At 42.9% G+C, this 20,014-nt stretch overlaps 1 long non-coding RNA gene across 1 annotated transcript, besides 8 other annotated features; it reads right to left on the bottom strand.

Annotated features, from left to right (window-relative positions):
* Positions 1,619–2,132: an enhancer, noted in NCBI's record as "NANOG hESC enhancer chr10:85915068-85915581 (GRCh37/hg19 assembly coordinates)". NCBI's record gives its function as "activates a minimal SCP1, AML or CMV promoter by ChIP-STARR-seq in primed H9 embryonic stem cells {active_cell/tissue: H9 hESC(primed)}" and the evidence as "EXISTENCE:reporter gene assay evidence [ECO:0000049][PMID:30033119]".
* Positions 7,208–7,709: an enhancer, noted in NCBI's record as "NANOG hESC enhancer chr10:85920657-85921158 (GRCh37/hg19 assembly coordinates)". NCBI's record gives its function as "activates a minimal SCP1, AML or CMV promoter by ChIP-STARR-seq in primed H9 embryonic stem cells {active_cell/tissue: H9 hESC(primed)}" and the evidence as "EXISTENCE:reporter gene assay evidence [ECO:0000049][PMID:30033119]".
* Positions 8,042–8,757: an enhancer, noted in NCBI's record as "H3K27ac-H3K4me1 hESC enhancer chr10:85921491-85922206 (GRCh37/hg19 assembly coordinates)". NCBI's record gives its function as "activates a minimal SCP1, AML or CMV promoter by ChIP-STARR-seq in naive and primed H9 embryonic stem cells {active_cell/tissue: H9 hESC(naive and primed)}" and the evidence as "EXISTENCE:reporter gene assay evidence [ECO:0000049][PMID:30033119]".
* CERNA2 (competing endogenous lncRNA 2 for microRNA let-7b) lies at positions 13,535–18,383 on the bottom strand. Its single transcript, NR_134505.1, has 2 exons — positions 18,029–18,383; positions 13,535–15,036 (listed from the first exon to the last, which is right to left on the bottom strand). It is a non-coding gene; the product is annotated as a competing endogenous lncRNA 2 for microRNA let-7b (long non-coding RNA).
* Positions 13,817–13,866: an enhancer, noted in NCBI's record as "active region_3674". NCBI's record gives its function as "activates an Ori minimal core promoter by ATAC-STARR-seq in GM12878 lymphoblastoid cells {active_cell/tissue: GM12878}" and the evidence as "EXISTENCE:reporter gene assay evidence [ECO:0000049][PMID:35858748]".
* Positions 17,702–18,203: an enhancer, noted in NCBI's record as "H3K4me1 hESC enhancer chr10:85931151-85931652 (GRCh37/hg19 assembly coordinates)". NCBI's record gives its function as "activates a minimal SCP1, AML or CMV promoter by ChIP-STARR-seq in primed H9 embryonic stem cells {active_cell/tissue: H9 hESC(primed)}" and the evidence as "EXISTENCE:reporter gene assay evidence [ECO:0000049][PMID:30033119]".
* Positions 18,118–18,167: an enhancer, noted in NCBI's record as "active region_3675". NCBI's record gives its function as "activates an Ori minimal core promoter by ATAC-STARR-seq in GM12878 lymphoblastoid cells {active_cell/tissue: GM12878}" and the evidence as "EXISTENCE:reporter gene assay evidence [ECO:0000049][PMID:35858748]".
* Positions 18,518–18,757: an enhancer, noted in NCBI's record as "active region_3676". NCBI's record gives its function as "activates an Ori minimal core promoter by ATAC-STARR-seq in GM12878 lymphoblastoid cells {active_cell/tissue: GM12878}" and the evidence as "EXISTENCE:reporter gene assay evidence [ECO:0000049][PMID:35858748]".
* Positions 19,578–19,627: an enhancer, noted in NCBI's record as "active region_3677". NCBI's record gives its function as "activates an Ori minimal core promoter by ATAC-STARR-seq in GM12878 lymphoblastoid cells {active_cell/tissue: GM12878}" and the evidence as "EXISTENCE:reporter gene assay evidence [ECO:0000049][PMID:35858748]".

The raw sequence follows: 20,014 nt of genomic DNA on the forward strand, positions 1-20,014 counted from the left end.
GTCTAATTTTTCCAAGTGAATCATATGCATGCCATTTGAATAGGGATTTCTTCAAGAAAGCAACTTAGTTTCTTGCCAGTATAGTATAGTGCAGTGTGATAAGTACATGATACTTGTAGCTAGACTACCTCTATTTGAATCTCAACTCTTATTTCTTATGTGACCTTGGGCAAATTACTTAACCTCTGTGTGCCCAGTTTCCTCTCCTGTAAAATGAATATATTGGAACCTGTCTTATAGGTTTATGGTTAAACGTGCAGGCACTTAGTAAGCATTACATAAGTCTTAGCTATTGATGCTTTTTTTTATTAGTAAAAATGTAAATGCCAATTTTCTATTTTTCTTCTCCCCATCCTGATACCCATATCAGTGTGATCTTAAAGTGCCTGTTTTCCTTAGTCACCTTTTAGAACCCAAAGTTTATGTCTTTTTTAAATTAATATCACACACAAAATGATATCATTTCAGTGATGGTATCAGGCAGTTTATCTAGAAAACCAAGGATTTTTTTACTGTTTTACTTTTTTTTTAAATAGAGGGGTTCAGTTTGGTCTTAAATTGGATTCAAACAATCCACTCACCTTGGCCTTCCTAAGTGTCGGCATTACTAGCTTGAGCCACTGCCCCCATCCTGGGTTGTTTTGTTGTTGTTGTTGTCGTTGTTGTTAATTTAATGACATTATGTTATTGGACTTCTTCTGACTTTGCTAAGACAATGAAGGCTATGCAAAATAATATATAAAATGTGGCCGGGTGCGGTGGCTCACGCCTGTAATCCCAGCACTTTGGGAGGCCGAGGCAGGCAGATCATGAGGTCAAGAGATGGAGACCATCCTGGCCAACATGGTGAAACCCTGTCTCTACTAAAAATACAAAAATTAGCTGGGCATGGTGGTGTGCATCTGTAGTCCCAGGTACTTGAGAGGCTGAGGCGGGAGAATCGCTTGAGACAAGGAGGCGGAGGTTGCTGTGAGCCAAGATCGCGCCACTGCACTCCAGCCTGGCAACAGAGCAAGACTCCGTCTCAAAAAGATAAATAAATAAATAACATATAAAAGGTAAGCTGATATATAAAATGTGATCGTTTGTAAAACATACCAGTTGTAAATGGTAATAGAAAAAAATCACTAGTTTCTTGGCTCTTAACATACCACAGAGTTTTTGTTTTTTTTTTTCCTCATTCACAGCGAAGAGTAATGACCTGCAAAGTGATAGGCTTTAGGTAAAAAAGTAAATGTCCATTTTTCATTTTCTGACATCGTCTGAAATACTAGAGGATAAATGAAACATGTTTTAAAATAATCCCGAGAAAAAAGGCCCTTTGAGTTGTTGCTTAAAATGGCATCTACTGAACAGTCAGAAAACATGAATTTTTTATGTAACAGGTGCCATGCTAGCTGGGCCCAGGGGAGACAATGATGAATAAAAGTAATTGCCTTCTAAAGCATATCAAATCCGTGTAAACACGGCCATAGGCCATTGGATGAGTGTCACAGAAAGGTAAGCAAAATGGAAATGCAGACTGAATAATAAGTTTCTAAGATGGCCCAGGAGGAAATTTTCAAGAGTAAGCATAGTAGGTAAAGCACACAGAAAAAGGTAGTATGGGCATTTCATACAATGGATGCTTGATGGGGGAGGGCTGCAGGGAGAGATGGACAAAGTGGAAAAAGATGGTAAGAAATGGAAATTCTCTTGAAGCTGGATTTCCCACTTGCTGCGGGTGTGTGCTTTGCTTAACATGTTAAAACCTGCAGGCGTGGTGGCTCATGCCTGTAATCCCAACACTTCGGGAGGCTGAGGCAGGAGGATTGCTTGAGCCCAGGAGTTCAAGACCACTCTGCACAACAAAAAAACCCATCTCTACCAAAAATTTAAAAATCAGCAGGGTGCAGTGGCGCATGCCTGTAGTCCCAGCTACTCAGGAGGATTGCTTAAGTCTAGCATTTCGAAGCTGCGATTGTGCCACTGCACTCCTGCTGGGCAAAAAAAAAAAAAAAAAACTAGGAAGACAGGCAGGCATGTTTACCTTGAAATTGTATCTGGGTAACGTGTCCAGGTTAAAGGTACTAAAACTGAGTGATACCCAAGACATATAATTCCAGTGGGGTAGGGTGGCCCAGCTACACTAGTAATAGCTGATGTTTGAATTGAACTCTTTGCCCAAAGTTTGATCTTTGCACAAGGTCATATGGCTGGGAAGAATAATGAGACAAACTCCCTAACCAATTATGCCGGGAGGATAGATGATAGATCTAAAATCGTGTAGGACACAGCCATATAAAAGAAAGCAAGCTTGTCCTTATAGAGTTAGCTGGAGGCCATCATCCTGTTACAAACAACAAATTAACCCAGGAACAAAAAAACAAATGCCCCATGTTCTCACAAATGGGAACTAAACATTGGCTACTCATGGACATAAAGATGGTAATAATAGATACCTGGGATTCCTAGAGGAAGGAGTGGGGCAAGGGTTGAAAACCTATTGGACACTGTGCTCGGTATCTGGGTGATGGGATCATTGGTACTCCAAACCTCAGCATCACGCAGTATACACAAGTAACAACCTGCACATGTATTCCATGAATCCAAAGTAAAAGTTGAAGAAGTAGAATTTTGCTTGAGAATCACAAAAGCACTATACAAATTAAATAGGTTGAGATTCTATTAAAGTGTAAGTCACTTTTAAAATCTTGGGAATCAGTATTCTGAGTAAATTAAAGGAAATAGAACAGGAACATTTTAGTTTTCTGTGAAAAAAAAATTGACCTCAGTGAAGGATACTGGAAATCATCGTGCCTTCCTCACATCTATTTCTTACGGTACAAAATAGTCCTTTTTTGTATTGCCCAGTTCACTCCGAGCTACAAATCAAAATTGACCATTTTTTAAGGTCAATTTCATCAATAAGATGAAATCCTAAATGCATTCCATTTTTAACTAGCACAAAATGGAAATGACTTTTCAGGAATAGATTAGAAAGCTATGACCTTGAGGACTTTCCACCTTTAAAGTAAGATTCTTTTGTGAAGCAATTCAGGAAGATGGACGGTGAACATTCAATTCATTAACATCTGAGAACCATGAAGAGAGTATTTTTTGCCACAAGCAAAAATGAACCTAAATAAAAGACTGGTGGGGGAGGAGAATCATAACGACCATTATGGCCCGCATCTTATGGGCTGCTGCGCAGTTAGCATGAGGGGAGGCCTTGCACAAGCTCTTCCCCTCAGCCTCAGCATCCTGTTCTGCCTCATTTGTGGCTTGCGTCAGACTGAGTCACCCAGCGCAATGTCACTCTTCCTCAGGGGACTTCTCTCAACCTTCCACCTTCTACAGAGAGCTTGATGGATGGTGAGGTTGTTGCAACCTCACTGGATACAGATAGTAGAAGTGCGAGGATCCCCGTGGCTACACTCGAGATAAAATTAATGTGTTCTGGCAGGACTGAATGGACGTTTTTCCTCACAACCGTATACGCAAGTTTAGTAGTTTTTAAACATTCAATTTATGCTTTCCACTGGGCAATTTGTAAAAGCAGCATGATGACCCACAGGTATGGTGTCAGTGGGCCATCATTCCTCCAAGTTAACCCTCCATATGCCTGACATGGATTTTCTCACCTGTGTCCCCAGAGTGTTTTTACACAGTCAACAGAGAAAACAGGTCCATGGCCATCTCATTGGAGGAATGTTACAGGTTTATTTTATTTGCTTAGTAGTTGAATTATCTCATTTCTAAGAGACAGCATTTTTTTGCATTTCATTTCTGAAGTGCATATTCTATTTCAGGATTTTTCTTTTTTTTCTCAAAACTAGCATGTCTTAAAGTCAGTGGCATTTTAAAATGGAAAAATATTTGCCGGTGGTTTTCTTTTTCCCATGATTTTCTAATACTTCACTGTCCTGTAAGAACAGATATCTAAAGCATTGTCTTTTGATAAATGACCTCAGTAACTAATTATTACTTATTTATGATTCAGAGGGGATCTTCTGAAGTACAAACAAGCTCACCCCACCCAGTTATGTACTTTTTTGAAGATTTCTTTTTCTTTTTTTTTTTTTTTTTTTGCTTAAGCAACAAAAATTTATTTTCTTACAGTTCTGGAGGCTAGAAATCCAAGTCCAAGGTTCCAGCATGTTCTGTTTTTGGTGAAGGATCACTTTTATTTTTCTGAGACCGAAGTGCTGGGATTACAGGCATGAGCCACCACACTCAGTCAAGGATCACTTTCTAGCTTGTAGATGGCAGCCTTCTTGCTGTGTCCTCACATGGTGGGGTTGGGGGAAGAAGAGAGAAGGCCCAGTTACGTACTTTTAAGTATGCAGGCTGAACGGACTGAGGTCAGCAACACAGAATGACCCCCAAACAGGAATATAAATGGAAGTTAAGAAAGGGCACGTTACTGGTTTGGTATGATCTGTTAGTAGAGTTAGGGATTTAATAGGTTCATTCCATTTGGTACACCTTGAGGGAATGAACTGTTAGCACCAGCTGTGGGGAAACACAAGGATGAATGGCTGGAAACCCATCATTCTAGAAGACAGCATCCAATGAGCAGTGGGAGTGGGTAGTTGCTAGGAGGATCTAATTCTAGAGAGAGAAGGCAGTGCTGGAGGCAGAAGCCTTTACTGTGGGTGGGGAATGTTAATCATTAGAAGCCACTGTTTTAAGAGATTAAATCAACATTTATTAGACACTCTAAAGTAGTACGAGAGTAGTTAAATGATAAGAAATAGCAACACACTTCAATGATTCAAGGTAATTATAAAATCATTATCCAGAAATTACAAGAGGTTTATTCAGACTAATTGCCACCGGAGTTCAGAGGACGGAAGCAAATATGAGGAGTGCATATAGGGACATTTGAGTCCAAACGCACCAGCCCAGAAGGGTTGGTACTTTGTGGAAAGGGGAATGTCTGGCCTGGCTCGCATGTGTAGCATCATGGGGACTTCCTGATCTCCTTTGCAGAGAACCCAACCTTCTCTGCCTGCAAGACCCTGACAAAAATGTGGGTATTCTTGAAAAGCTATAAAATGTCCTTCAGGACTCTGCTGTGTGACAATCAAATGACGCCACCCTTAACCACACTGTTTCTCAGAAGATGCAAGCATGATTGCCTTCCTCATTTAAATAGAACGGTTATTTAAAAAGAAGTTGGATAAATTATGACAAGACTTTCACTGTTATTAATTCTGAGTGGCAGAAAAAAATGGGCATTTGATAAGAAAATGGGGCTTTTGGTATCTTTTTTAGTACATTATAGCTGCCCTTAAGTAATTTTGTAAAAGGCAAAGGACACATGGGGAGAAAATGAAAATTATGGAAACACTTTACAAGGAGCTTTCCAGATCCGGGAACTAGTGGAATGGCCCAGGAAAGCAGTCTCTCCGCCCTGCGGAACTGAACCCAGGGCCTTCAGGGTCCTCCTAGCCTGGCTCCTTCTGTGAGGTTGAAGTTTACCCCGGAGTACATGGCCCTAGCTTCACCTCCCACATCCCTGCCCTTTCCTGGGTGTGCTAGGTGTGGGGGTGAAAATGCGGAGGCAAGGTGACACATGTCTGCTGGGAAGCCTGCTGTCAAATTGCAAAGTACAGAACAGACGCTGACAAACAGGATCCATCTCAGCCCTACCTGCAGTTTTCCAGCTCTAAGCACCGGCAAAAGAGGAAAGCTTTGGCACTGCTAATCCTCCTTTCTACACAACCTCCCTCCCTCCTGCCCGAGTTCCTCCTCGCACTTGCTCTGTTTGTCCTCTCACCTTTCTCTGTCAAAATCTGCACTTGGATATGAGCCTAGGATCAGTCATTTGGACCTTAATTTCAGTGTGTGTGCTTCCTTTGCCTCAAATTGTGGCAAGAAAAATAGTCGTTCCTCATTAAAGCAGTATCAGCTATCCTTGAGCACAAGTGGGAGGTTGGGTATTTTTTGGAGACAGATTGCTGTTGAAAAAGAAAGGAAGATCAGCAGTCCCACTACTGGCTATAAATTCTAGGGGAATTTAATCAGTATCTCGAAGAGATATCTGTACTCCTGTTTATCACAGCACTATTCATGATGGCCAAGATGTGGAATCAAGCTAACTGTCCATTAACAGATGAATAGATAAGGAAAATGTGCTATATATACACAATGGAATGCCACTCAAAAAATGCCTTTAAAAAGAATGAAATTCTGTTACTAGCAACAACAAGGATGAACCTGGAGGACCTTATGTTAAGAGAAATAAGCCAGGTACAGAAAGACAAAAAATGCACGTTTTCATTTCCATGTGGGATCTAAATCAAACTCATAGAAGCGGAGAGTAGAGTGGTGGTTACCAGGGGCTGGTGGGTGGGGGGGAATGAGGAGATGTTATAAATGATGTGTATTTATGGTGATGGATATGGTAATTAGTTTGATTCCATGATTCCACACTGTGTACATATAACATCACTGTGTCTGCCATGATAATATATTATTATAGTTTATCAAAAAATTAATTTTAAAATATACTTCATTATCATATTATAAATTAAAAATGAGAATTCTGCAGAAACTGGAAATCTAAGCCAGTGGTTACGATGTTAACCAAAAAGATCCAGAAGTTTAAAAAAAAAATTCCTGGGGAATAGTATTACATTTTGGATCAGCGTTAAGTTCAATTTCACTAGAATTTCAGGGTCAGAATGGCCTTGTTAGTTGAGTGTTCTAAACTCTTTTATCTGTAGTTAGGTACAATGGCATGTGCCTATAGTTCCAGCTGCCTGGGAGGCTAAGGTGGGAAGATCACTTGAGCCCAAGAGTTTGTTGATGAAAAGAATCCAACTCTGTAAAATATTTGAAGAGTTTTATTCTAAGCCAACTATGCATGACGATGGCCCATGACAGAACCCAGGAGATCACGAGAACATGTGCTCAAGGTGGTTGGGCTATAGCTTGGTGTTGTACATTTTAGGGAGACTTAAGATTTCGATGAATGCAGGTAAGATGTATATTGGTTCAGTACGGAAAGGTGGGACTACTCAGAGGGCTGGGGGGCTTCCAGATCATAGGTGGATTCAAAGATTTTCTGAATAGCAATTTGTTGAAAGTTTATCTAAAGATCTAGAATCAATTGAAGGGATTGTGTGGGTTAAGATAAGAGGTTGTGGAGACCAAGGTTCTTCTTATGCAGATGAAGCCTCCAGGTGGCAGGCTTCAGAGAGAATTGATTATAAATGCTTCTTATCAGACTGGATACTAGACTCTTAGTTAATTCTCTCCTGGATCTGGAAAAAGACCTGGAAAAGGATGAAAATCAACTCTACAGAATGTTGATTTTCCCCTCGAGACAGCTTTGCAGGGCCATTTCAGAATATGTCAAAGAAATACATTTTGGAGGTAAAATACGTATTTCTTTCAGGGCCTGCTAGCTGTAATATTGCTACAAAGAGTCTTCAGGTCTCTATTTTAACGTTAATGCTGGTCAGCTGTGCCTGAATTCCAACGGGAGGAGGGGGTAATGAGGCCTGTCTTCCCACCCATTCCCATCATGCCTGAACTAGCGTTTTAGGTTTACTTTAGAATGCCCTTGGCCCAGAGGAGGAGTCCACTCAATTGGTTGGGGATGGGGCTTAGAATTTACTTTTGGTTTACAAGTTTGAGGCTGTAGGGCACATAATATTATTGCACCTGTGAATAGGCACAGTACTGCAGCATGAGCAGCATAGCCAGAGGAGAACCTGTCTCAAAAAAGTAAAAGCCTTTTATCCTTAACTATTGTAATACTCAATTATAATAAACGTGGGGGGTAAGAAAAATTGAGAAAGGAAGGGAAAGCTATGTACCCCATTTCTGAAAATTGGCCACCTAAAATAATAAAAAATTATGTTCATATTGCATGGCGCTTTTAACATTACACTCTCATCCAGTGAATCTGTTCCTCTCCAGCTGCACCTACTATTTTACATCGAAAATAACAAAGGCACAGAGAAGTTGAGCAACTTGTGCAGGTCACACAGCTAAAACATAGGAGAGCGCTGGTTAGAGCATGGATCATGTGGCTGTAAAGCCTGTGCTATTTTAACAAGTGTAGGGGAGGTAGAAAGACACCAAATACAAGGGTCCTGAGTCCCCTACTTTAGGCTGAAACTTGGGCTGGGTATGAAGGGGTGGGGGCAAAAGACAGAAACTCCAGAGAGAGAGAGAGCAAGGCCAAACATGAAGGGGGTATGCTTATCAAGAGCCCAGGGACTGGTTTCACACATGCTTCAACACCAACCTAGAGTGGCCATGGGAGAATGAAAGACATTGCCTTTTAGTCTCATCTTTGTGGCATAGTGGAGATCATGACATTTCAGCACATTCCCTGCGGAGGAGTCTGCAGGCCTGCTAGCTGCTGCCATAGTGAGGCAGGGTAGCCCTACCACCAATGCTATGGTGGACAGATCAACCCAGGGTACAAGGAGACAATAAACAACGTAAACCCCAAATAATATTATAAGCCCCTCAGCTGACTGATGGACTCCTTTGCTCTTGGCCAAGGGAATTCCAAAGTAAACCTGAAAAAACTAGTTCAGGCCATGATAAGAAGAGGAGGTCGGATATGCCTCACTATACTCTCCTCCTTTGGAATTCAGGCACAACTAAACAATATTAACCTTAAAACAAATCTCAGCATTTTGGGAGGCCGAGGCGGGCGGATCACAAGGTCAGGAGATCGAGACAATCCTGGCTAACACGGTGAAACCCCGTCTCTACTAAAAATAGAAAAATTAGCCGGGCGTGGTGGCAGACGCCTGTAATCCCAGCTACTCAGGAGACTGAGGCAGGAGAATGGCGTGAACCCGAGAGGCGGAGCTTGCAGTGAGCCGAGATCGTGCCACTGCACTCCAGCCTGGGGGACAGCATGAAACTCCCTCTTAAAAAAAAAAAAAATTAAAACAGAGATCTTAAGACTAATAAAGCAGACTTTTTATAGCAATAAGATACCAAATTCCAGCCTGACTCTAGTGTAGTATCACATGACAGATAGTAAGCCCTGAAGGAAATTGAAATATTTTACCCCAACATATACTTCTTTGATGTATTTTGAAATGGTTCTGCAAAGCTGTCTCTTGTGTGGAAAATCTACATTCTGTAGAGAATCCCCACCCTTTCCAGGTCTTCTCCCTGATCCGGGAGAAAATTAACTAAGAGTCTGGTGCCTTTGAAGGTCTGACAAGAGCTCCGAAGCCAGCTACCTAGAGACTTCATCTGCATAATAAGAACCTTGGTCTCCACAACCTCGTATCTTAACCCAGACATTCCTTTCGATTAATCCCAGGTCTCCACCTATGACCTGGAACCACCACCCCTTCGAATTGTCCCACCTTTCTGTACATAACTATTACTTGAAAGGGGTCCCAATCCAGACTCCAAGAGAGGGTTCTTGGACATCGTGCAAGAAAGAATTCCAGGTGAGTCCACAGAGTAAAGTAAAAGCAAGTTTATTAAGAAAATAAAGGAAAAAAGAATGGCACCACACCCTGGGCCTGGTAGTTAAAGATCGACCCCTGACCTAATCGGTTATTTGCATAAAAAAGCACTGTGAAGATCCCTGTCCTGTTCTGTTCCATTCTAATTACCTGTGTATGCATCCCCCAGTCTCGTCCCCACTGCTTGCTCAATCGATCACCACCCTCTCACATGGACCTCCTTAGAGTTGTGAGCCCTTAAAAGGGACAGGAATTGTTTACTTGGGGAGCTCGGCTCTTGAGACAGGAGTCTTGCTGATACTCTCAGCCGAATAAACCGCTTCCTTCTTTAACTCAGTGTCTGAGGGGTTTTTTCTGCGGCTCTTCCTGCTACATCCCTAAAATGTATAAAACCAAGCTGTAGCCCAACTACCCTGGGCACATGTTCTCAGGATTTCCTAGGGCTGTGTCATGTGCTGTTGGTCACTCATATTTGGCTCAGAATAAATCTTTTCAAATATACAGAGTTTTACTCTTTTTGTTGATAAACAGTGGGAAAATTCACAGCACCCACGAGAGCCAAGGGTGTCCTCAAAAGGATCGGGGGTTGAGGGAACAGATACTGGACAGACATACCAGCTTTGACCTCAGCAGCAGGATGCCCAGAGGCGGTAGGCTGGAGACTTACAAGGAAGTTCGGACTAACTGTAAAAATAGAGGAAACTATTGGGTTTTTGTACAGGTCGTGGCGAGTGTGTGTACACTGAACATCAATGTTGTGAGTTATTCTCAATTGTGCATGAGCTCTCACGGAACTCTGGAAAGAAACTTTGGAGTCAGACAGATCTGGTTCCAGTTGAAAAATTCCCATAACCTTTTTTATGGAGTGAAGGGAAGGTTCCCTTTCCCTGTTGAGTGAGGTAACAAGTAAATGCCTGTCTCCCTGAAGTGGGGAGATAATTAAATGAGGGGACAAGCAAAGGATGGTGCCCAGGCCTGGTGCCTCCCTTCATTATAAGCTGAGCTGCAGTTTGCTAAGTAAATAAGGTGGGAGAGTCATTTCTGATCAATGTTGGGGTCTATAAAACACTTTTGAAAGAAGAGCGTGGTGACTGGGAGTGAAGTGTGGGACTCACGCCCAGAGTGGTTTGCCAGTAAAGGGTGGAGATGCTCCAGGCAATTTCCTAACTGGCCTTAGAAATTACAAATTAAATTGAAAAAAAAAAGTCTTCCTTACAAATTCCCCAGTGTGTCAGGTGTGTCTCTGGAGAACTTTTCTTCTCAGGAAGGGAGGCAAGTTTTCAAAATCACCTTTGGAAATCATCTAAAGCCTCAAATTTGAGTATTTTTTGTACCAAAACTGCTTATGCTCAAAACTAACAGGTGTTCCTGTTAAAATGCCTCTCATTTTCACCTTTCTCAGCTCAACATGAGATTTTGAATTTTCTAAAGAGCCCGAGGTGTTTCTTCCTTTTTTAAAGCAAGAATTTGACAGCTCTCTTTGAAATGTTAAAAGCAGGTGAAAATCTGTGAACAGTGATTGTCCCTGGGGAGTGGAGTTGAGGCAGAACTTACACTTTACGCCCTGTGTTATTTAAATTAATGTGGCATGGATTGCTTCAGTCATTTTTCTGTAAGTGTTTTAAAAGCAGGTAGAATTTTTTGACATCTGAATCTTTTCTTCCTTAGAAATATATGGTCCTAGGAAAACCTGCAAATCTGTGAATTGTATGTGTGAGTAGGGAAGGAAGAGAGCCCCTGAGATAGGAAATTCTTCCTGCTCTTAGCAGAGACTAGTGCGCTTAGTCTCTGTTCTTCAGTGAGAAGAAGAGCTGTGTTGAGAACCTAAAGTCTTTCTGACTCCATGGCTGAGTGGTTGAGGGATCTTGAGAAAATGACCGAAGACCTGGTTCAGTTGATCAGTGGATCCAGATGAATCTTTCTCTTCACTAACCTCAGAATCTGCCCCTAATTCCTGCACCACTGCTAAGCGATTACAGTGAGCTTTAAGAGTTGGCCTAGTCCGTAGCTGAACTCTGTCAGCTAGCTTGTTCTTTTCCCCTCTGATGATGGTTTGCCAAAAGCAGCAAGGAACTATTTCAACAAAAAACAGGTAACAGGTGAGTGCTAGCTGAAGGTGTGATGCTGCCCAGAGAACTCATGACAACACCCTCAAATGAGCCCTGAGAAAAATAAAATTGTGGTGCTGATCCTTGATATGGAACATGGATGTAATTCTAACCTTAGGAAGCACCGTTAGGGAATGTTGCTGAGTTTATTAACCCTTAGCAGGCATTCCAAATAAGAGCAGTGTCCCAGCTAGCAATGCAGCCTCAAGAGGAACCCCACCTCTTCCTCACCCTCAAGCCTCTCCTGGGCTCCAGCTCTGCAATTGTCCCTGGTAGACTCCTGGGGTCTTCCTGCCCCTATCCTCTGCTGTGGCTGCTGTCCACTTCGCACAGATATCAGGACTCAGAGCATAGCCTGCAAAGAGTCTCTCTGGGGCCAGTCAGGTAACTGACATAGCATGATGTGTAGTTCAAAGAAACCAGTTTATTTATGTGGATCAATTTTAGTTTTTGCAAATGCATAAAAGCATGAGGGCAGCCCATCAAAATGTCTCCTGCCATTGATTTGCCCACTGAGCAGCCTGAGCACGTGGTTTAAATTGCTTCTCTAATCTGTGACAAAAATAGAAGACCAATGAAGTGCACCATTGGCCAGTATCTGGCAGTGGGCAATGTCTGAATTGGCTTCCAGGAACCAGGGAGATCCTGAAGTGTTGAACCAGGTACTGGCATCTTCCCATATGTCCTTCAAGCTAGGAACAAGCATCAGATTTTTTGGTTAGAAGTTCATCCTTAGGCCGGGCGCTGTGACTCACACCTGTAATCCCAGCACTTTGGGAGGCCGAGGCGGGCGGACCACCTGAGGTCGGGAGTTTGAGACCAGCTTGACCAACATGGAGAAACTGTCTCTACTAAAAATACAAAATTAGCCAGGCATGGTGGCGCATGCCTGTAATCCCAGCTACTCAGGAGGCTGAGGCAGGAGAATCTCTTGAACCCGGAGGGCGAAGGTTATGGTGAGCTAGGATCGTGCCATTGCATTCTAGCCTGGGTAACAAGAGTGAAACTCCGTCTCAAAAAAAAAAAAGACGGTCATCGTTATTAAGGCAAAGGACAGGTGGGCACCACATTGCAAGGGCAAACGCAGTTCTGTGCATGACACAAAATTCACATTTTTTCTTTTTCTTTCTTTCTTTTTTTTTTTTGAGATGGAGTCTCGCTCTGTCACCCAGGCTGGAGTGCAGTGGCATGATCTTGGCTTACTGCAAACTCTGCCTCCCGAGTTCAAACAATTCTCTTGCCTCAGCTTCCTGAGTAGCTGGGATTACAGGCACGCGCCACCATGTCTGGCTAATTTTTGTATTTTTAGTGGAGATGGGGTTTCACCATGTTGGTCAGGCTGGTCTCAAATTCCTGACCTCATGATCCACCCACCTCAGCCTCCCAAAGTGCTGGTATTACAGGCGTGAGCCACTGCACCCAGCCAAAATTCACATTTTTTCTTCAGCCAGGGGCAATCCCCAACCCATGCTCAACAACTTGGAAACAACCTCCCACACATCTTAGCATTGTCATTGCTGGAAGAGAATTTGCATGCTCCTCAATTCTTATATCCTCTAGGCATTGGGCTTGCTTTCCTCCTCTTGCTCAAGTCTGACCTTCCGGATGACAGCTTGCTGGGGCCAGGTGGGCAGGTGTCACAGTGGACCTTCAGCACACCCAAGACATTGCAGAGCTCTGCACTGCTCAGAGCTGACCAGAGAGGCCCGACCACGCATAAAGGTGCAACAGGCCCACATGGCCTGCCCCTACCCACAGGGATCCTGCCCATCATTTCCCCTGGGCTCAGGTCTTGAGTCTCCAGCAGCTCACTATCCAGTGGGAAACAACAGGCTGAGGTAAAGGTCACAGCATGCATTAACACTACCTGTACCAGGGGCCAGGGAAGGCTTCAAGGCAGGGAGATTCTTGAGCTGGGGCTGGAAGCATGAGCAGAGCTGGTTTTATAGCAGGATGAGCTGCAGACAAAACCTCTCAGACACTGAGTTGTGGAAGGAAGGGCTTTATTCAGCTGGGAGCATCAGCAAGCTACTGCCTTAAAATCCAAGCTCCCCAAATACTCAATTTCTGTCCCTTTTAAGGGCTCACAACACTAAAGATTTCACATGAAAGGGTCGTGATTGATTTGAGCAAGCAGGCGGTACATGACAGGGGCTGCATGCACCAGTGGTCAGAGAGAAACAGAACAGGGCAGGGAGTTTCACAATGTTCTTCTATACAATGTCTGGAATCTATGAATAACATCAGTTTCTAAGTTATGAGTTGATTTTTAACTACTGGGTTTAGGCCAGACAGGCCCAGGCCTGGTTTCAGGCCTGGCACCAGGCTGCCTGTCTTTGGTTTTACTTCCTTGTCACTTTTTCTTAAAAGAGGTACTGAGTATAAAACAATATAAAACAATATGAGAGGGTCTCTCTCTCTTCCCTCATTTCCCCCCTTTGAGACTCTCAGTTTTTATTAGTGGGAGTTCTGAGTCTTATTTTTGCTACTTATGTCTTTTTGTGCAATAGATTGATAGTGATTTATATAGTATGCTTCTGCTAAAGCATTTTGGTGAACTAAGGTCGTGACAAAGTTTTTTATCATTTGGAGAAATACAGGTATCAGACAAAGGAGCAGTAAGCAGGTTTCTATTACTATTATTACTCTTATTATAAGAGTTTTAAATTTTTTCATTGCTGGGAACCAATTTGCAAACATGGCTCCCGGATTGAGCCCATGCCACACTTGCATGGGTACATGTGCCAGTTTTGTTATATCTTTAACTATATTTTTAACTACTTGCCCTTAATCATTTATGTGTAGACAACAATTAGTAAGGTTAAATTTTTTACAAACTTCTCCTTCAGCTGCTAGCAAGTAGTCAAGAGCTAGTATATTTTGATAGATAAAATTTCTCATCAGAGTCTCTTGCCGGGCAAGAACAGTCAAGGCTTGACCGGTTTTATTAGTAATAATTTCTAAAACCGCTTGTAACTGTATGATTCGGTTGAGCATGTAGATGGGGGTTCGATATCCTCATGAGCCATCTTGTGCCTAAGTGGTGGGTCTATAGTATTGTATGATTCTTTCAGGGGGCCATTCATTATTTTCTAATCACCTATGGCTATGCTTCATTTTTCACGGGAAGCATAGACTAGGAAGCCTAGAAGTTCACCTGTTTTTATTGGCAGTAAGAAGAAAGATGGCTTAATGGTGCCAATTACACAGCTACCTGTCCAATTACACAGCTACCTGTCCACTGATCAGGCAGCTTAGCATAAGGTCAGTTGAAGTCCTTACTGTACAAGTCCAAATTTTAAGGAAAATTATTCCCGCGATGAGTTTCCTCATGCTTCGGCCATGCGTGAACCAGTCAGCTTCCGGGTGTGACCGGAACAAGGCTTGTCGTCTTCTTCAGAGTCACTTTGCAAGGGTTGGCAAAGCTGCTCCCATCCACGTACAGCTCCCAGTCTACTGATGTTTAAGGGTGGTCTCGGTGGTTGGGCCTACGAGAATAAACTGAGTCCAATACTTCTACACAGTTATGTTTAACTGGGCTCTCTGATACCGGGAGCAAGGTGGCGGAGTTTAGGGTGTTGCAAACTTCAATGGTTATGCGGGGATTTTCACAGAGCAAGCTTTGGTATCTAGTTAGTCTAGCATTCATTAGCTAATGGTGTCCTTTGGTATTTATTAAAATCACCACAGCATACGAGGACTTTAGGTTTTGCCTAAGAGTTAGCTTATTTGCTTCTTGTACTAACAGGGCCATTGCTGCCAGGGCCCTTGCACATGGGGGCCAGCCTTTGGAAACCCCATCAGTTGTTTTGAGAGATAGGCCACTGGCCTTGGCCAGGGCCCTACAGTCTGGGTTAAAACTCCAACTATCATTTTTTCTCTTTCTGACACATAGAGTGTAAAGAGTTTCATCAGGTCAGGTAGCCTCAGGGCTGGGGCCAACACAATTTTTTCTTTTAAATTCATGAAAAGCTCATTGCTGTTGGTTGTAATAGATGTAGTTTATCTAATCTGCATTTTTATTGACTGTCATCTACCAAGATATTGATTTAAATCTTGTAACTATTTGATTTCAAGCTTTAAATTGATCTGGTATTCCTTGCGGGGCTTCAATTGCATCTAAATAGATGTGAGAGTTGAAAGACCTATAAGGGGCTTCTCTCACTTTATGATTTTTATTTTATTTTATTTTTTTCTTCCTCTGGTTGATGAAGTGCCAGGGTAAAAGGGATAGCCAAATGGACTAAAGCACAAGTGCCACTCTAGTTATTCAGCAGAGTGCCCAGTAAAGGTCCACCACAATACCACCACACATCCACTCGGGGATGAACAAGGGCTGACTGATTGATAAGCTCTTGAAAATTCTTAAGCTCACTGCATCCCTTCAGGTCTCCAAGGAATGCTAAGTCTCCTCCCTGCCACGAGAGACAAGAAGTGAACTTAGCGTTGGGAGACAGAAGCTGGATGGCCTTCGGGGGCTGACCCTCAGGGACTTCAGGATATAGCAGAGAGAGCTTGGCATGACTTATTACTCCAGGCTGTAGAATCCTGGAAAACAGCTACCATGCAGCCCACGCCTGGTCGACTGGAGGACCACCTTAGTGGAAGGGGGACAATCAGGGCCTCTGGCCTGCCATGTGCACAAGCATAACAATTGCTTTTGTTTAATGTGCAGATGGAATATTTGATCCATTTCAACCAGGCATTTGCATCTTGGTATGCTGTCTTAATTTCCAAAGTTTGTTTTAAGTCTTTAACTTCTATGATCCTCTAGTAAAAGGAATGTTTCCTTTAGTACCTATTTTTATTAGTTTTTAGACCAAAGAAAGTTAAACACCATTTTATATTTAATAATGCTTCTTGTATGATTTTTATACCAGATAAGCTAAATTTTACCTTTATATTAGTGTGTTATTAATGTTAAACTTAATTTTAATAAAACCTTGTAGATATATTTATCCAATTTTTCATGTTTGACCATAAGGTGAGATTTTATAGACTCTTTTTAACCTTTTATAATTTTTGTTAAAGAGCAGGTTGATGCTTTAAGAAAAACCTGTTGCATTTTTACTTTAATGTCCAGTTCACAGAAAAGCTGGATGATACCTTTTTAACTTTAGCTAATATGTTTATACACAGAATTTTCTTTACAATTAAAGTTTTAAAACTTGCTTAAACTTTCAAAACAATAATTTTTTAACCTTTTAATGTTGGTAAAAATCCACATTCTTATGCCTCCTTATAATCTTTTTACCAAAGGTATATTTTACTATTTTTATACACCTTGCACATAAACTGTTTCTTCAATAGTAGTACTCAGGAGGCTTTTTTGCATAAATTTTTTTATAACATTTTTTCTTTCACAACTTTCGCCGACAATTCTTCAACATGCCTCAACTTTCTGACTTATTACAAACATTTTTTTTCTTTAAACAACCAGTTAATTTATTTCAGGACAAGAATTTACCATATAACACTCTTTTTACATAAATTCTGCCTCCCCCCCGCTTTTTTTTTTGAAGATAACCATTCCTTTTTTTAAAGCGAACTTTCTTTATGTCTTTGGACTAGACTCTCTAAGGCCACAAGATTAGAAGTTACCACAATATATGTTATGCTGTTAACTTTTAGCAAACTTCACTTTTGTTGAAAACCTTGTAAGTTTGGGATTTCAATTATCCTTTGCTATTAATAAGACCTTGTTTAGTCTAAATTAACTTAGAATTGGTATAGATGGCCTCTTTTTTTTTTTTCTCTGCTGGTCTTTCCTTGCCTCTCCCAACTGCTTATGCTGCTGTTCTTTTAACTACTGTGGAGGGGAAGGGGGTCTAAAACCAGCTGTAACTGTCTATGTATGGAAACTGGTCTGGGTGCCTTGGCTTACAGGTTGCCCTGTGTCATACCGTTGAAACAAGGGACCTGTCCAGGCTTCTTTCTGATGACCAACCCACTCTAATGCTGGCCAGTCTATTTCACACAAAGTTCTAAGTTTTCCTGGTGTCACAGTAACATCGTAATCTCCCTTAAATTCTTTCTTGAAATTTTTATTTTTTTTAACATAGTTCCTAGTGGGGTGGGCTTATTTTTGCCTGACCCATGCTTCTTCAAGACAAAACACCATGTTCACACCACACACACACCACAAAACAAAAAACAGGTAAAAAGGGCACACACACACTTTTGCAGTTTACACCAAACCAAAATCAGAGTATCCAGAAATCCAAGCCAGGTCAAAACTAAAACCAAAGTATCACACAATCTAAGTCAAGTCAAAACCAGAACAAAAGTGTCAATGCAGGCATGCCGTGGGTGATCAGGCCATGTTTCCACCCAGATGGAGTAGGGCAAGTTCCAAAGACTAGTCTTACCAACTCAAGCCAAGTCAAAACCAGAACAAAATGCCAATACAGGCACACTGTGGGTGATCAGGCCACGCTTCCACTCAGATGGAGTGGGGCAAGTTCCAAAGACTAGTCTTACCAAGTTGTAGATGTCCGGACTCCAAGTGCCAGTTCCTTCCTGGTGTTCAGCCACTGTGTTAATCTTCCGTGGGGGCCTGCTACACGCTGCTCTGGCAAGGCGTTCCATTGGGGCAATTGCCTACCCGGGAGCGCTCTTTGGATCACGTCACTCAGGCTGGCCGGAGTTCCCCTCACGGATGCTCCACAGGGCAGGCCTAAGCCGCCTAAGGGGCTGCCTCGGCCATCCGTCAGTCACCTCGTTTCCCAGTCAGGGAACCAAGAAATGTAGCAGGGTGAGCCGCAGACAAAACCTCTCAGACACTGAGTTGTAGAAGGCAGGGCTTTATTCAGCTGGGAGCATCGGCAAGCTACTGCCTTCAAATCTGAGCTCCCTGAATACACAATTTCTGTTCCTTTTAAGGGCTCACAACACTAAAGATTTCACATGAAAGGGTCGTGATTGATTTGAGCAAGCAGGCGGTACGTGACAGGGGCTGCATGCACCGGTGGTCAGAGAGAAACAGAACAGGGCAGGGAGTTTCACAATGTTCTTCTATACAATGTCTGGAATCTATGAATAACATTGGTTTTTAAGTTATGAGTTGATTTTTAACTACTGGGTTTAGTCCAGGCAGGCCCAGGCCTGGTTTCAGGCCTGGCGCCGGGCTGCCTGTCTTTGGTTTTACTTCCTTGTTTTTTCTTAAAAGAGGTACTGAGTATAAAACAATATAAAACAATATGAGAGGGTATCTCTCTTCCCTCAGTTTGGGAGTGGAGGTTTGAGAGCAGCCCAGGCAGAGGCTCATCAGGGTGCATGGGAAACATCCTAATTTCTTCCGAAAAATATTCCTCCTACCCACCACCTCTCATAGGCCCAGGGGCTCTGAACCCTCTGACACCATCTGAGGCCAGAGCCTAGCAAGTGTTCAGGCACCCATGCACCATTATTAAAGGGAACTCAGACCCACTCTGATGGAAAAGGAGCCCAAAGCATTCCTGTCATCAGTCTCTACCCGGCTGAAGGATCCCCCGGCCTCCCTTTTGCCAGTCTGATTCCTCTGCTGGTCCAGGAAGCCCACCATGACCTGGCCTACCATGCCAGGCCATCTCCGACCCAATCTTATTCCATCTCTGCAGAGTGTCCCCTCCCTCCCCCACCTTCTGACTGAGCAACCTACGTCCCCTTCCTTCAGTATAGACAGCACTTACAATGCTGTGAGACAGTCACTTGTCTGCACAGCTTCCTCCACCAACAGGAGCTCCTTGAGGCGAGGCACAGTGTCTTCTGTGTCCCTGGAGCCAAGCGCATGGCTCAGCCCAGGTCACGTGTCCAGTGAATGGGTGGCATCTGAGCCTCCTGCACCTGTGGTCAGACTTTCCCCCATGCCTGCCCTGGGCAGAGGCTCCTCTCTTCCAGGCCTTGTTCAGGGTGACCCTGTACTTGAAGTGTCTTCTCATTTCATCACTGTCTTAAACATCAAAGTCCACCTGTGGCCCCACCTCCTTTAAGAGCTGTGTGAGCACCTTGGTGCAGATGGCTTCTCATACATGCCTCAATACAGGCTTGTGAGAGAGATAGTCCTGTGCCCATTTCACAGATGGGAAGCCGACTCAAAGACATTCAAGGACAAGTTTGATGTCACACTGCTAAGTGGCAGAACCAGGACTCAAACCCAGGTCATCTGACTCCAGGACCTGTGCTCTCTACATCTCATTGGTTACTCAAGACTCATCCTTGGATCAGAACCTGCAAGGGTTTTATGATCCTTTTTCCAGACACAGCTGAGGAATGAGCAGGAAGAGCTGCATTTGATAGGATTATTACTGACACTAAAAGTTAACGTTCAACTCTAGACAGTGGCTCTTCCTGGGCAGTTGGTTCCTGCTCTCACCACTGAAGCCAGTTCTGAAACCTCTCTGGGCTGGGCATTTACAGCTTTCTGTGTTACAGGTTACTAAATGCATCTTGAAAGGCTGGTTTTCCTCTTGGGAGGGGCTGACTTTA

This window comes from Homo sapiens, chromosome 10, assembly GCF_000001405.40.
Source record: "Homo sapiens chromosome 10, GRCh38.p14 Primary Assembly".
Classification (NCBI taxonomy): domain Eukaryota; kingdom Metazoa; phylum Chordata; class Mammalia; order Primates; family Hominidae; genus Homo; species Homo sapiens.